The sequence below is a fragment of the Homo sapiens genome, chromosome 15 (assembly GCF_000001405.40).
Source record: "Homo sapiens chromosome 15, GRCh38.p14 Primary Assembly".
In the NCBI taxonomy this organism is placed as follows: Eukaryota; Metazoa; Chordata; class Mammalia; order Primates; family Hominidae; genus Homo; species Homo sapiens.
Window position 1 is genome coordinate 64,346,500 of NC_000015.10, and position 16,405 is coordinate 64,362,904.

Consider the following 16,405-nt stretch of genomic DNA (forward strand, 5'->3'; position numbering starts at 1 on the left):
CAGACAGGAGTACAATGGTGCGATCTCAGCTCACTGCAAATTCCGCCTCCCAGGTTCAAGTGATTCTCCTGCCTCAGCCTCCTGAGTAGCTGGGATTACAGACGCACACCACCACACCCGGCTAATTTTTGTATTTTTAGTAGAAATGAGGTTTCACCACATTGGCCATGCTGGTCTCGAACCCCTGACCTCAGGTGATCTGCCTGCCTTGGCCCCCCAAAGTGCTGAGATTACAGGTGTGAGCCACCACACCTGGCTGGAAATGAGTTTTCAGATATAACACTAAAAGCATTATCAATGAAAGAGAAGAGGTTAACTTGGACCTTATTAAAAACTTCTGCACTATGAAAGGCACTATTAAGAGAATAAAAAGACAAGCCATAGACTGGAAAAAATATTTGCAAAAAATATATCTGATTAAGGATTTGTATCCAAAATACACAATGACCACTTAAAACTCAACAAGAAGCAAACAACCTTATTTTAAAATGGGCAAAAGACCTGAACAGATACCTCATCCAAAAAGGTATAGAAATGTCAAACATACAAAAAGATGCCCAACATCATAGAGAACTGCAAATTAAAACAAGATACTACTACATATCTATTAGATAACGAGTAAAATACAAAAAAAGAGACAATACGAAATGCTAGTGAGGACGTGAAACAACGGGAACTCTTGTTATTCATTACTCGTAGGAATACAAAATGGTATAGCCACTTTGGGAAACAGTTTGACAATTTCTTACCAAATTAAATAGTCTTATCATAAGATCCAGCAATCACACTCCTGGGTATTTACTCAAAAGAGCTGAAAACTTTTAATGATAGAAAAACCTACACATGTATGTTTATACCAGCTTTATTCATCATTATCAAAAACTAGAAGCAACAAAGATGTCCTTCAAATGGTGAAGGGATCAACAAATTGTGGCACATCTATACAACAGAAAATTATTCAGCAATACCAACTGGGTATGCTGGCTTGCACCTGTAGTCCAAGCTACTCGGGAGGCTGAAGCAGGAGGATCGCTTGAGCCCAGGAATTCAAGGCCAGCCTGGTCAACATAGCAACACTCCGTCTTAAAAAAAAAAAAAAAGAAAGAAACAAGGAAAGAAGGAAGGAAGGAAGGAAGGAAGGAAAATGTACAGAAAAGAAAAGAGAAAAGAAAAATTGTCCTGCAATAAAAAGAAATGAGCTATGAAGCCACAAAAAAACATGAAGAGGCCAGGCACAGTGGCTCCTACCTGTAATCCCAGCACTTTGGGAGGCTGAGGCGAGCAGATCACGAGGTCAGGAGATCGAGACCATCTTGGCCAACATGGTGAAACCCGGTCTCTACTAAAATACAAAAAATTAGCCAGGAGTGGTGGCATGTGCCTGTAATCCCAGCTATTCGGGAGGCTGAGGCAGGGGAATCGCTTGAACCCAGGAGGCGGAGGTTTCAGTGAGCTGATATCCCGCCACTGCACTCCAGCCTGGCGACAGAGCACAACTCTGTGTCAAAAAAAAAAAAAAGACACGAAGAACATTCAACGCATATTGCTAAGTGAAAAAAAAAACAATCTTAAAAAGCTCTATGTTATATGATTCTAACTATATGACATTTTGGAAAAGGCAATACTATAGAGACAGTAAAATGGTCAGTGTCTGCCAGTAATTCAGGCAGGAGAGGAGGGATGTGAAGCACACAGGATTTTTAGGATGGTGAAACTATGTGTAGGAAACTGTAATGGTGGATACGTGTCATTATGCATTTGTCAAAACCCACAGAATGTACAATGCAGAGTGAACCTTAGTGTAAACCAGATGCTATAGTTAACAATAATGTATCAATATTATTTCATTAATTGTAACACATGTACCACACTAATGCAAGATGTTAATAATAGGGGAAACTGGGGGATGGAGGAGAGAAGCACACTGAACTCTATGTACTATCTGCTCTCTTATTCCAGAAATCTAAAAGTATTCAAAAAAAAATTAATGAAAAAAACACAATAGGGCATACACAATCTCAAAGAGTAAATATTGCCACTGTAGACTACAGAAATTTTAGCAAAGTGCAAACAAAATTAAGAGATTTTAATCCTCTTGCCTTTTCCTGGCATTAGTCATTTCTCTCTGCTCACCAGCACCCACATCAGAGAGTGACCTCTAGGAAATGGAAAAGAATTCCAGCTGGGAAGCGGCTTGATCACAGCTGTGGTTAGCAATTTATCCTAAAGCTAAAATGAGATCTGGTGATTATCATGGATACTCAAACACCAAAAAAAGGAAGAAAAGAAAAAAATTTCACATCATTCATTATGGTCAACAGAGAAATTAAAGTGTATTTTAAAACATATTGGCAAGGCGCGGTGGCTCACACCTGTAATCCCAGCACTTTGGGAGGCTGAGGAGGGCAGATCACCTGAGGTCAGGAGTTCGAGACCAGCCTGGCCAACGTGGTGAAACCCCATCTCTACTAAAAATACAAAAAATTAGCTGGACATGGTAGGTAGCGGGCACCTGTAATTCCAGCTACTCAGGAGTCTGAGGCAAGAGAATTGCCTGAACCCGGAATGTGGAGGTTGCAGTGAGCCGAGATCACGCCACTGTACTCCAGCCTGGGCAACGAGAGCGAAACTCCACCTCAAAAAAAAAAAAAAAAAAGTATCAAGACAGAAGAAAATGTATAACTTTCATTCAGGAAGTCGTAAATACCCCTTTTTATAGGCTAAGGAGTTAGAATGTATAAGCAGCAGAAATCCATGGGGATCCAATGCTATTGTTCCCTGGCAAATTTATGTAGCATTTTGATGGAGACATCAAACTCGGCACCCAGGCTTCTCCCTTTTCGTGGCAAGGGCAATGGCTACCTCTTCACCCGACATCTCTGGACAAGGCAAAAACTAAGAGAATATCCCTCTACCCAGTATACCCACACCTCCAATGTGATGGGTGAGAAATTATTAAAGAATAATTCCCATCCCTAGCACCCCAACCCCCACTATAACTACACTGCCCACTTGGAGCTTCTGGGTGAGGGACAGACTACATTAGTGTGGGGACAGTCCATCTGTCTTTCTATCTCATCAGAACATTCCTGCTGCAGACAAAGCATGGCTTCTATCCAGATGGCTCTCTCTTTAGGCCATTTCTGGGATACCACACTAGTGCTATTTCAATTTCTCTGAGATGACTGAGTCTTTCTGGTCCGCTAAGTTAAGGTTATAACCTCAGCAAGTTTGGTCTTTTACAGTTTAGTAACCCAAAAGCCTGCCGTCAGAATTTATTAAGATCCAAAATGAACCTAGCATGGTGGTTAGCACCTGTAATCCCAGCTACTCAGGAGGTTGAGGTGGAAGGATCACTTGAGCTCAGGAGTTCAAGACCAGCCTGAGCAACACACTGAGACCCTCGTCTCCAAAAATTAAAAAAAAAAAAAAAATTAAAAATTAAAAAAATCCCAAATGAAAAGTGCCAACTATGTGCACACATTTAGATGAAAACTAAGCAACTGGCACAGAGGGTAAGATAAAATCCACTACTGAAAGAGTAAATTTAAGTAAGCTTGTTTTAAGTTAAAAATCCTCAGAAGAAGCTTCTTTTCTGGTTTTAAGACATCAAGTGAATAAAGATTTAATCTAAAATATCTTTTTATCAATTTTTTAAGCTTCCATCAACAAGTGGACTATGTTAAATACTACTTATAAAAATGGTTTTATCGGCTGGTCGCGGTGGCTCACACCTGTAATCCCAGCACTTTGGGAGGCCAAGGCGGGCGGATCACAAGGTCAGGAGATCGAGACCATCCTGGCTAACACGGTGAAACCCCGTCTCTACTAAAAATACAAAAAGAAAAAAAATTAGCCGGGTGTGGTGGCAGGCACCTGTAGTCCCAGCTACTCCGGAGGCTGAGGCAGGAGAATGGCGTGAACCCGGGAGATGGAGCTTGCAGTGAGCCAAGATCACGCCACTGCACTCCAGCCTGAGCAACAGAGCAAGACTCTGTCTCCAAAAAAAAAAAATTGGTTTATCAAGTGAACAGTGAGAATTAAAAGATGCATGAAGTTACCATTCATATAGTTTGAAATAACAATTAACTTTAAACAGTATCTGTCATCATCCTGTATAACTCAATATAAAAATGCAAGATCTTTGGTTACATGTTCACTGATAGAGCTGATATTATATAACCTAAATCTACTGAGGATTTTTATTTTTACAAAATAATCTGATGAACTCAAAGCCATAAAACATAAAAGGGGTTGGGAGAGAAGGAATCTGAAACAGATGGCATCTAAATTTTTTTTCCTGAGTCCATCTTGAACACAATCCCAATAATGTCAAAATCCAATTTTGCTCTCCAAATAAGTAATCTCCACAACTTAAAATGGTAATTCTGAAGTAAATCCATTCTTTTTCTTTTTTTTTTTCCTCCCAGCTTCTCAGAGCTTCTATATTGGGCAGAAATGAGTAGAGACAAGTTAACTGTTAAAAAGAGAAAAACTATCATTCCACAAATTCAAAAGTTATTTCCGGAAAATACACTTATCTAAAACCACTGAAGCAGTTTCTATCAATATGTAGTACTAAAATCTATGACACCAGCCTTTTTTTATATAATGATTATTTATCCTTATTAGAGACTAAATCACAGCTCCATAAAAGAAATATGCTTTAAAATAAAAATGAGCTCTGGAAGAATACTCATTTGGTTTGAGTAAAAAGAAAGCACCGCCTGGACTTTTTAATAACATTTTCACAGTAACTCACTCCTGATTGTATAGCGCCAATAAATTCAGCTGTATTTTGTTCATTATCTAATTCTAGTATATGGTACATATATAAACCTTCCCAATCTTTCCTAAAACTTTCTGAGGTCATCCAAGAGATAGATATTAAACAAAGGTTTAGTCATTTTTAGATTTCCTGACAAGCAAATTCCATAACTGACAACTGCAAAGATCCTTGGAACGGCCACAGACTTTGAGAGGAAGTGGTGATTGAGAAATCTCTAACCGTCTCTATTCATTGCACACAATTAAGATAGAATTTTTTACTCTAGCAGCTAGTATACTATCTCTTATATCAAAATTAATAGATTATCGGGCCAGGCACGGTGGCTCACGCCTGTAGTCCCAGCACTTTGAGAGGCTGAGGCGGGCCAATCACTTGAGGCCAGGAGTTCAAGACCAGCGTGGCCAACATGGCAAAACCCCATGTCCACTAAAAATACAAAAATTAGCCAGGTATGCTGGCGCACACCTGTAATCCCAGCTAATCGGGAGACTGAGGCAGGAGGGGCGCTTGAACCTGAGGGGCAGAGGCTGCAGTAAGCTGAGCCTGGGCACTCCAGCCTGGGTAACAGAAACTCCGTCTCAAAAACAAAAAAGATTTTTAAAAATATTAATACAGTATTATAGTTTGAGAAGAAGACAGGGGAAAAAGTGGGAGCTTCTGAGAGCTTTACCAAAGCATATGATCTCAACTTTAAGATTTAAAGGATGATAAAAAAATGATACGAGAAAACACAGCAGGCCGGGCAGGGCAGTTCACACCTGTAATCCCAGCACCTTGGGAGGCCAAGGTGGGTGGATCACCTGAGGTCACGAGTTAGAGAGCCGCCTGGCCAACATGGCCAACACCGTTTCTACTAAAAATACAAAAATTAGCCAGCATGGTGGCGCATGCCTATAGTTCCAGCTTATTCAGGAGGCTGAGGCAGTAGAATTGCTTGAACCCGGGAGGCGGAGGTTGCAGTGAGCCAAGATAGTGCCGCTGCACTCCAGCATGGGTGACAGAGCAAGACTCCATCTCAAAAAAAAAGTGAAAAGATAAAAGAAAACACAGCAGAAAGCTTAGATATATACAGACCTTACACTCTCAGAAGAGCCATTTAGAAAGCTAAATAACCTTACCAAAACTCTGTAACTATCACAAAACATAATTTGAATTCTTCTTTTTTTTTTTTTTTTTTTGAGATGGAGTTTTGCTCTTGCCCAGGCTGGAGTGAATGGCACAATCTTGGCTCACCGCAACCTCCACCTCCCGGGTTCAAGCGATTCTCTTGCCTCAGCCTCCCGAGTAGCTGGGATTACAGGCATGCTCCATCATGCCTGACTAATGTTGTATTTTTAGTAGAGATGGGGTTTCTCCATGTTGCTCAGGCTGGTCTCAAACTCCTGACCTCAGGTGATCCGCCCACCTCGGCCTCCCAAGGTGCTAGGATTACAGGCATGAGCCACCATGCCTGGCCTAATTTCAACTCTTTATAAAACAAAGAGACATGGGGAAGAAATATATTTGAAAATTTCTCAGGGCTGGGTGTGTTGGCTCATGCCTGTAATCCCAGCACTTTGGGAGGCCAAAGCTGGCGGATCACTTGAGGTCAGGAGTTCGAGACCTGCCTGGCCAACATGGCAAAACGCCTTCTCTACTAAAAACACAAAAATTAGCTGGACATGGTGGCACACGCCTGTAGTTCCAGCTACTCAGGAAGCTGAGGTGCGAGAACTGCTTGAACTTAGCAGGCGGAGATTGCAATGAGCAGAGATTATGCTGCTGCACTCCAGCCTAGGTGACAGAGCAAGAATCTGTCTTTAAAAAAAAAGAAAAGAAAATTTCTCACAAATTTACACAAAACTTATGAACTTCTCAAAAAAGGTCAAACTGAATTGCAAACTTTGTATTCTCACAAACATCTATTATTACAGGAAGTTATTTGATTTTTGTCCTCTGAGTATAAATTACATTTGAAAATAACTAACTATAAGTCACCTCAAAAAGCAAACTACGTTAGCTGAAAATCTGACATATAATAGGTGACACATAACTATATTATTTTAAATCCACAAAACAAATGAGTATAAAGACTTTGGCCGGGTACGGTGGCTCATGCCTGTAATCCCAGCACTTTGGGAGGCTGAGGCGGGTGGATCACGAGGTCAGGAGATAGACACCATCCTGGCTAACATGATGACACTTCGTCTCTACTAAAAATACAAAAAAATTAGCTGGATGTGGTGGCATGTGCCTGTAATCCCAGCTACTCAGGAGGCTGAGGCAGGAGAATTGCTTGAACCTGGGAGGTGGAGGTTTCAGTGAGCCGAGATCGTGCCACCACACTCCAGCCTGGGTGACAGAGTGAGACTCCATTTCAAAAAAAAAAAAAAAAAAGAAAGAAAAAGACTTCATGGGCTGGGTGAGGTGGCTCACACCTGTAATCTCAACACTTTGGGAGGGCGACGCAGGAGGTTTGCTTGAACCCAGGAGTTTGAGGCTGCAGTGAGTATAATTGCCCCAGTGCATTCATTCTGGCCTAAGTGACAGAGAAAGACCTTGTCACTAAAAATAAATAAAAAACAGACTTCATGTTTCTTGGATTTATTTCTATATCGTAATAAGGAATGATTTAAAGGCAGAAATGTATTCGATTTTGTTTTCTGAATATTATATAAGTTTTTCTAGTAGCATAAATCTAACTGAGATGAGAGGTGCTGCTGATGCTGCTGATTTTTATCTTAAAATTACAAGTAGGCCGGGCACGGTGGCTCACACCTGTAATCCCAGCACTTTGGGAGACCAAGGCGGATGGATTACAAGGTCAGGAGTTCAAGACCAACCTGACCAACATGGTAAAACCCTCTCTCTACTAAAAATACAAAAAATTAGCTGGGTGTAGTGGCAGGCGCCTGTGATCCCAGCTACTCAGGAGGCTGAGGCAGGAGAATCGCTTGAATCCTGGAGGTAGAGGTTGCACTGAGCCGAGATCGTGCCACTGCACTCCAGCCTGGGTGATAGAGCAAGACTCTGTCTCAAACAAACAAACAAACAAACAAAAAACAAGTACCTTCTATTTTACACCCCAATTTTAATTCTCTTTAAAGAGACATGTGATGTTAAGATTTACATACATTACTTTTTCATGTATTTCGTGTTAATCCATACTATAAACACCAATATGGTGTAGCTGAGAAAAATCTATAAAATATATTTTGCTCATTTCAATAAATGGGCCATATTCTACTTTATTATTTTGAATTTTAAGAAACTACTGATAACTGAATTTCATGCTACCTACGATCAATTTCGAGAAGACACTGAAAGTCCTATTGTATGCATTTTTTTTTCAAAATTATCCGGTTGCTTTCCTATCTCAAACCTCGTTTCACAAAACTGGGCTGCCTTGACTGTGTATGATTAATGGTAATAATTTATCTTCTAATTCAAAGGTGGTTCCGTTTAAAATGGGATGTTACTTATAATACAGGTAAGAATTTTAACTCATACTACTTATGAAGAAACAAAAGCTCTGGTAGGTTCCATGACTTGCCCAAGGTCAGTAACTAGCAACTGGCATAGTCTAGGTTCAACCCAAGATTTATCTGCCTGAAAGTCAATACTTCCACTTGACCGCAATTATCTCCTTAAAAGATTAAGACACAGGCTCAACAGCAGAACATTCATTCTCTCTCTGAAAATTCACATATCTGTTCTGAGACATCACTACACAGCACCTAGTATTCAGTCACTGATTGAAACAAAAATGAAGAGGATCTTTCTACTTCATTTAAATTAGGACAGGTTTACTGGCAGGTAAGAAAGAGGCTGCAAAAGCCTTGCCTCAACATGTCTTGCCTAGACCTGTGATACATCTATATGGTTTCCCCAGTCCATTCTTTTTAAATAAACACGTACATCTACTACACAAGACTACACCTGGACTAGCCTATTGTTAAATGCTTTTCAGAATTCCACTTTTCTAAGGTAATTTATACCGGAATTAATATCGAGCTGGGAGACTTGGTTGAATATGTCATTCAGGCACTTTCCAAACATCTTAAGTGTCATTTAGGGGCAACAAACCCAGTTCCACTCTCTTTTACATTGTGATGCCTGCCCACTTGGGGGACATTGCTCCTGTAGGACGTGGGGGCGAGGAAACAGTAAAGGAAGAAGTGGGGGAAGCGTACGGAAGTTGGGTAGAGGAAAGTCTCATTACCCACTCTTGTGCCCTAAGCTCCGCCAAGGGCGGCTCCCCGCGGTACCCAGTCGACTCAGAACCCCCACAACCTTCGAAGTCCAGCTCTGTCCCAGCGGGGTGGGTAGGGAAAGAGGGCAATGGAAGCACGGGATAGCCCCAGTCACCCTGACGAGATCTGTGCCCTCCTTTTGGCTCCCGGGGGATGCTCCCCCTTTCAGAGTAAGCCCTCCAGGTGGCAAACTCCCGGTCCACACCGGCTAGAGTCAGTTTCTCGGAAGGGGCGCCTCCTCCGCCTACCTCTACCCCGCTAACCGAAACTCTCCACCCGCTGTGTCCCTCAGCCCCTCCATTCCGCCCCCGCAACCCTCCACAGACACAAACGCCAGCCTGCGCCCCACCCGGGATCACGGCGTCCCCCACCCACGCCCAGGAAAGGGCCCCCCACCAACCCCCTCAGACACACACACACCCCCTCAGACTTCAGCCTACAGAACCCCGACGAAGCCGGGCAGATACCTGGTCCAGCAGTGCTGCAAGGCGCAAATGAGGCGGGCGCGGTCCCCTCCCCGAGGCGCCAAGTGCTTCTCTACCCACCCGCAGCGGTGGTTTCTCTCTTTCCCAGGAGCGGGAGGGAGGGGAGAAGGCGGACGGGAGGGGGAAGGCGAGGAGCCGAGGGGCGGCTGGAGCCGAACCGGAACCACTAGCGCGGCCCCGCCCTCGTCCCGGAGTCGCAGAGTACCCTGGCGGGCCTAATAGGACAAACTTTGGGCAGGCAGCGTTAAACTGACACCATCACTTCCGGGTTATCCCCACGGCTGCCCCCTCCTTAGCAACCGCGTGGGGTTGCTAAGCGGAAGTGCCTTCAAAGCAACCCACCCCCATTTCTTCTGGGACTACCAGAAGATATATCGGGAGCACTGAGCTCTGCTTTGGCAACACGCTCTTACCTTCTGCTCAAGATCTTAGACCAAGTACACGCTTCGCTGCCAGAGGCACGAAACCCATCCCGCTTTTCCCTTCAACTGTACTCCTCCACCAAGCCCCCGTCTCTATATACTCCTGCTCCCTCCCACCCTTAATCCCGTGGCTGACCCAGTGGCTGTTCCTAAGGCTCCAGGCTCCTCTCTCAGGTCCCTCGAGGGAATTATTTTCTGACGGTTTAGCAAGCATCTCCCTCTTGTGGATTTTTAATTGTGTTTCAACCAGATTTTTAAAATTTCTTTCAATGTTGTGAAAGGTTTTTCATGCACTTAGTTCTCCTGTGACAGCCCATGAAGCCGAATGGTTAGAAAAATGTTGTCTTCACCTACATTTTGTAAGAGCTGCACATGTTTGTGTAAGGTCTGGAATTAACCTAGCCAAATGGAATAGGCAAAAAAGATTCAATGTAACTCGACAGTTATTTTAATCCTTAAAACAGAGAGCAGGGCACATGTTCTCAGGACCTCTTGAGACTGCGCCTCGGGGGCGGGGTGGTGGTGGAAAAAAGACAGAAAACAAAGAAAAAGGCTAAAGGGAGCCCATAATCAAATTTGGGAAGGAAGAAGACTGTCTAATCCTCCACTCAAAACTCAAAATATGCCGGGTGCGGTGGCTCACACCTGTAATCCCAACACTTTGGGAAGCCGAGACTGGCGGATCACGAGGTCAGGAGATGGAGACCATCCTGGCCAACATGGTGAAACTCCGTCTCTACTAAAAATACAAAAATTGGCCGGGCGCGGTGGCTCGCGCCTGTAGTCCTCCTGTAAGCACTTTGGGAGGCCGAGGCGGGCAGATCACGAGGTCAGGAGATGGAGACCATCCTGGCCAACATGGTGAAACCCCGTCTCTACTAAAATACAAAAAATTGGCTGGGGGTGGTGGCACGTGCCTGTAGTCCCAGTTACACGGGAGGCTGAAGCAGGGGAATTGCTTGAACCCGGGAGGCGGAGATTGCAGTGAGCCGAGATCGTGCCATTGCACTCCAATGGCACTCCAGCCTGATGACAGAGCGAGACTCCGTCTCAAAAATAATAATAAATAAATAAACAAACAAACAAAAATTAGCTGGGCGTGGTGGCGTGTGCCTGTAGTCCCAGCTACTCGGGAGACTGAGGCAGGAGAATCGCGGGAACCCGGGAGGCGGAGGTTGCAGTGAGCCGAGACCGCGCCACTGCCCTGCAGCATGGAGACAGAGCTAGACTCCGTCTAAAAAAAAAAAAAAAAACCTTCAAAATAAACTTTCATACCGACACTATGGATAAGAAAAGAGACCTCATTTATTGTGTCTGGGTGATTTGGGGTTTGAAAATATTGGGAAAATGAATGGTTGGGGTAAAAGTTAACAAAGTAATACTCGAAAAAAACAACTCGTATCTGGAGGCTGGGTGCGGTGGCTCACGCCTGTAATCTCAGCACTTTGGGAAGCCGAGGCCTGAGGATCACCTGAGGTAAGGAGTTCGAGACCAGCCTGGCCAAACTGGTGAAACCCTGTCTCTATTAAAAATAGAAAAATTAGCTGGGCGTGGTGGTGGGCACCTGTGATCCCACCTACTCGGGAGGCTGAGGCATGAGAATCATTTGAACCCAGAAGGCAGACGTTGCAGTGAGCCGAGATTGCGCCATTGCACTCCAGCCTGGGCAACAGAGCGAGACTCCGTTTCAGAAAAAAGAAAAAAAAAAAAAAAAGGAAAAGAACCCATATCGTTATGGCAGGTAAAATATTCAGAGAAATGCAGTTGGGCATTCAGAGAAAAATGAGTAAAAATCTTCATTTGGTTTTCCTATCTTAAATAGGTCTTCTTACAAGCAGAATGCTTAACAGTAGCTCCTAAATTTGTTTTCTATTCCATGGCAGTGAATATACTTGCCACGGCAGGCTCTAATTTTATTGGTCATGATAACCTCTTTATAGACACCAAAATTGAACTGTTATCCACCTTAACTGGGGCAGAGAGGAAATGAGCTTTGGTCACTTAAACGAAACACCACGTCTATTGGTTTCCTGTATGCATGAGACAGGGTTAAATTGATTCACCATAGGCAATCACTTCAGCAAAACCTTTAGGAAATCACTTCAAACTCAAATGGGTCAATAGGATGTTTAATACATCTCCACCTCTGCCATTGACATGAATACATGTGGGAGTATATACACATGCACAATTCAAATGGAATTTCAGCTCATCCACTAATTGTTCCTTTAAAAACCTGGGCGGGATGCAGTGGCTCACACATGTAACCCCAGCACTTTGGGAGGCCAAGGAGGGTGGGTCATCTGAGGTCAGAAGTTTGAGACCAGCCTGGCCAACATGGAGAAACCCCATCTCTACCAAAAATCAAAAAAAAAAAAAAAAAATTAGCCGGGCATGGTGGCAGATGCCTGTAATCCCAGCTACTCGGGAGGCTGAGGCAGGAGAATCGCTTGAACCCAGGAGGCTGAGGTTGCAGTGAGCCAAGATCGTGCCATTGCACTCCAGCCTGAGACAGAGCAAGACTCCGTCTCCAAGAAAAAAAAAAAAAACCTGGCTGAAAGTGACAAGTGGTAAACATGTTACCCTGACAAAACAGAGCTTGGTATTTCAATTGCCAAACAGGTTTAAATATCAAAAAACTTTGAAATAGTAAATAAAATGAGCTCAATGAACAACAATATATCTAAAACTATGATAGACTAGGATGTTTCAAAAAATTAAAACATGATTATGGTAAATAATAAATGTGTTCTATAGAAAGAAATGTTTTATTAAGAAAATCAAGTTATGATTAAATGTGATAGCGTAAGCCAATGTAGAAATGCAAATTCCTATGCATCACTCATTTTACCCACTGCCTGAAGAAAAATGATTTATAAGCAGCATTTGTTTACATCCTCTCTTCCTACAGCTTTTTTAAAAACTCCAGGCACTTTTGTATAGGTGTATGAATAACTGGCTTGACTCCTAATTCATCACATGTCCTCTATTCTATTATTTTCAACATACTCATTGCTTTGAGATCTCTAAAGATAGATAGTACAAACCCCACCTAAAATTAGGTATGTGAGTTTAACTACACTTTTGTAATTTTTGTGGGGAATCCATAGTCTCTCTCTTTTTTTTTTTTCTTTTTAGACAGGGTCTCACTCTGTCACCCAGGCTGGAGTGCAGGCACAATCTTGGCTCACTGCAGCCTTCACCTCGTAGGCTCAAGCGATCCTTCTACCTCAGCCTCCCAAATAGCTGGCACTACAGGCATGCAGTGTGCAGCCACACCCAGCTAATTTTTGTATTTTCTGTAGAGATGGGATCTCACTATGTTGCCCAGGCTGGTCTTGAACTCCTGAGCTTAAGCAATCCGCTTGCCTCAGCCTCCCAAAGTGCCGGGATTATAGCTGTGAACCACCACACCTGGCTAATTTTTGTATTTTTTGTAGAGAAGGGGGTCTCATTCTGTTGCCCAGGCTGGTCTTGAACTCTTGGAGGCCTCAGCCTCCCAAAGTGCTGGGATTACAGGTGTGAACTACCACACCCGGCCATGAATCCATATTCTTTTTTTTTTTTTTTGAGACGGAGTCTCGCTCTGTTGCCCAGGCTGGAGTGCAGTGGCGCGATGTAGGCTCACTGCAAGCTCCGCCTCCTGGGTTCACGCCATTCTCCTGCCTCAGCCTCCCGAGTAGCTGGGACTACAGGTGCCCACCACTACGCCCGGCTAATTTTTTGTATTTTTAGTAGAGATGGGGTTTCACCTTGTTAGCCAGGATGGTCTCGATCTCCTGACCTCGTGATCCGCCCGCCTCAGACTCCCAAAGTGCTGGGATTACAAGCGTGAGCCACCGCGCCCAGCCCATGAATCCATATACTTAATATGAACTATAAGGCAGTGCTCTCAGATCTGGGCCAGATCTCAAATAGCCCTCATTAAGTCAGTACAGTACCTTCATCCTACAGATCAATATGGGACTTCCAAACTTTTCTCCCACTCTCTTGAGCTGTCTTCATTTTTTTTATTGCCCTTGGTAATCATTTAAAAACTTAACATATCTAATGTATATTGGGGAAACCCAATATGCTGTAACTCAATTATTAATATTTAAATACTACTACAGGAATTAATATTTAAATATTGTTAGAGTTACATTGGCATCTTCAAACATAAAATACCAGAACTAGGCCAGGCAGAGTGGCTCATGCCTGTAATCCCAACACTTTGGGAGGCCAAGGTGGGTGGATCACTTGAGGTCAGGAGTTTCAGACCAGCCTGTCCCTACTAAAAAAAAAAAAAAAAAAAAAAAAAAAAAATACAAAAAATTAGCCAGGTGTGGTGGTGGGTGCCTGTAATCCCAGCTACTTGGGAGGCTGAGGCAGGAGAACCTGGGAGGTGGAGGTTGCAGTGAGCCGAGATCACACCACTGAACTCCAGCCTGGGTGACAGAGCCAGACTCTGTCTCAAAAAATAAAAAATAAAATAAAATAAAATACCAAAACTACAGTCTAACAATTAATGAATGTGTGGAGTCAATAAGAAGAAATTTAGCCAAACTTATCATTTATGTGCCTAAGCAATATACAATATAAAAGACATAGTCCCTTACACAAGGGACTCAGAGAAAGTCACTTAGGATACACATAACATAAACCATCAAATGTTAATGCTTAGAAAGCTTGAAGACATAACAGCCTTAGGAAGGCTAAAGATATAACAATTATCTAAATAATTGAAGGTTGCGGCCGGGCACAGTGGCTCATACCTATAATCTCTCTCCCACTTTCATATGCTATTCTCAAAGGTAAAAGAAACCATTATAACAATGATGGTTGAACCAAGGCTCAGTTGAACATTTTTTTTCTGAAAGTGAGTTAGCTTGAAGATTCTAAGTACAGTAGAATTTGTAAGCAGTGTACACATGAGAAAAGTGCATTTAGTTTAGGCTTTATATTCCATGTTTTTGTCTGTTGAGACGGGGTCTCCCTTTGTTGAGCAGGTTAGAGTGCAGTGATGTGATCATGACTCACTGCAGCCTCAACCACCTGGACTCAAGCAATTCTACCACCTCAGCCTACAAAGTAGCCGGGACCACAGATGTGAGCCACCATGCCCAGTTAATTTTTTGATTATTTGTAGAGATGAGGTCTATGTTGCCCAGGCTGGTCTCCAACTCCTGAGCTCAAGCGATCCTCCCGCCTCAGCCTCCAAAAGTGCTGGGAGTACAGGTGTGAGTCACTGCACCCAGGCAAAATTCTACTTTTTTTAGAATCTCATGGGAGAGATGAGGGGGAAAAATAATAAGCATTTGACATCTTTTAAATAAGTCTTTGAGCTCTCTTTATAATTTTCTCTTGAGTATTTGCTCGTCCTTTGTAAAACTATGGAAACACAAAATACATATGATGCTCACAATGCTCTAGCATTCAAAAATTCCAGAGTAGTTTTAATCATTATCTGGTCAGGAGTAACACTAGCATTAATAATTTGAATAATGCATTAAAAGAAAAAAAAAAGCTGTGAGCAGTGGCTCATGCCTATAATCCCAACACTTTGGGAGGCTGAGGTGGGTGGATCACCTGAGGTCAGGAGTTCGAGACCAGCCTGACCAACATGAAAAAACCTCATCTCTACTAAAAATACAAAATTAGCCTGGCATGGTGGCACATGCCTGTAATCCCAGCTACTCAGGAGGCTGAGGCAGAAGGATCACTTGAACCTGGGAGGCAGAGGTTGCGGCGAGCCAAGATCACACCATTGCACTCCAGCCTGGGCAAAAAGAACGAAACTCCATCTCAAAAAAAAAAAAAACAGACTAACTTTGTGAAGAAGGGTACAAAATTAAAACCTTGGTTTTGACTGGGCATGGTGGCTCACACCTTTAACTCCAGCAGTTTCAGAGGTTGAGGCAGGAGGATCGCTTGAGCCCAGGGGTTCAAGACCAGCTTGTGACAGAGCAAAACCGCATATCTAAAAAAGAATTTAAAATTAGCTGAGCATGGTGGCGCATGCCTTAGTCCCAGCTACTCAGGAGGCTGAGGCAGGAGGATCACTTGAGCAAGGGAGGTTGAGGCTGCAGTGAGCTGAGATCACACCACTGCACTCTGGCCTGGGCAATAGAGTAAGATCCTGCCTCAAAATCAATCAATCAATCAATCTTAGTTAAACTATCTTCTTAATGGGTAGATTTTACTTTTTAATTCAGTTTCAATGAAAAGAAGGGGTCTATACTTCCCTTCTGTTTAGAAAAGCTAAGTGGCCATGCTACATTTTGAAAATGCTTCGAAAAGGAAACATTATGTATAAATTTGCCTAATGAAAGTGAAACATCATCAAATATATACTTGAAAAAATTTTTTTTTTTGAGACGGAGTCCCACTCTGTGGCCCAGGCTGGAGTGCAGTGGCATATCTCGGCTCACTACAACCTCCACCTCCCAGGTTCAAGTGATTCTCCTGCCTCAGCCTCCTGAGTAATTGGGACTACAG

The 16,405-nt window shown here is 43.1% G+C and overlaps 1 protein-coding gene across 4 annotated transcripts in view, besides 4 other annotated features; it reads right to left on the minus strand.

Annotated features, from left to right (window-relative positions):
* CSNK1G1 (casein kinase 1 gamma 1) overlaps positions 1 to 9,674 on the minus strand; it is a 190,649-nt gene extending 180,975 nt beyond the window's left edge. For 3 of the 4 annotated variants that reach the window (NM_001329607.2, NM_022048.5, NM_001329605.2), the window contains exon 1: positions 9,489 to 9,674. The gene's annotated coding sequence lies outside the window, so the exon portion shown is untranslated. The remainder of the gene's footprint in view (positions 1 to 9,488) is intronic. The other variant, NM_001329606.2, reaches the window with a different exon arrangement.
* Positions 8,940 to 8,999: a silencer, noted in NCBI's record as "silent region_6531". NCBI's record gives its function as "represses an Ori minimal core promoter by ATAC-STARR-seq in GM12878 lymphoblastoid cells {active_cell/tissue: GM12878}" and the evidence as "EXISTENCE:reporter gene assay evidence [ECO:0000049][PMID:35858748]".
* Positions 9,390 to 9,449: a silencer, noted in NCBI's record as "silent region_6532". NCBI's record gives its function as "represses an Ori minimal core promoter by ATAC-STARR-seq in GM12878 lymphoblastoid cells {active_cell/tissue: GM12878}" and the evidence as "EXISTENCE:reporter gene assay evidence [ECO:0000049][PMID:35858748]".
* Positions 9,560 to 9,609: a silencer, noted in NCBI's record as "silent region_6533". NCBI's record gives its function as "represses an Ori minimal core promoter by ATAC-STARR-seq in GM12878 lymphoblastoid cells {active_cell/tissue: GM12878}" and the evidence as "EXISTENCE:reporter gene assay evidence [ECO:0000049][PMID:35858748]".
* Positions 14,255 to 14,481: a silencer, noted in NCBI's record as "fragment chr15:64652953-64653179 (GRCh37/hg19 assembly coordinates)". NCBI's record gives its function as "represses an EF-1alpha promoter that drives an FKBP-Casp9 reporter gene in an ReSE screen in K562 erythroleukemia cells {active_cell/tissue: K562}" and the evidence as "EXISTENCE:reporter gene assay evidence [ECO:0000049][PMID:32094911]".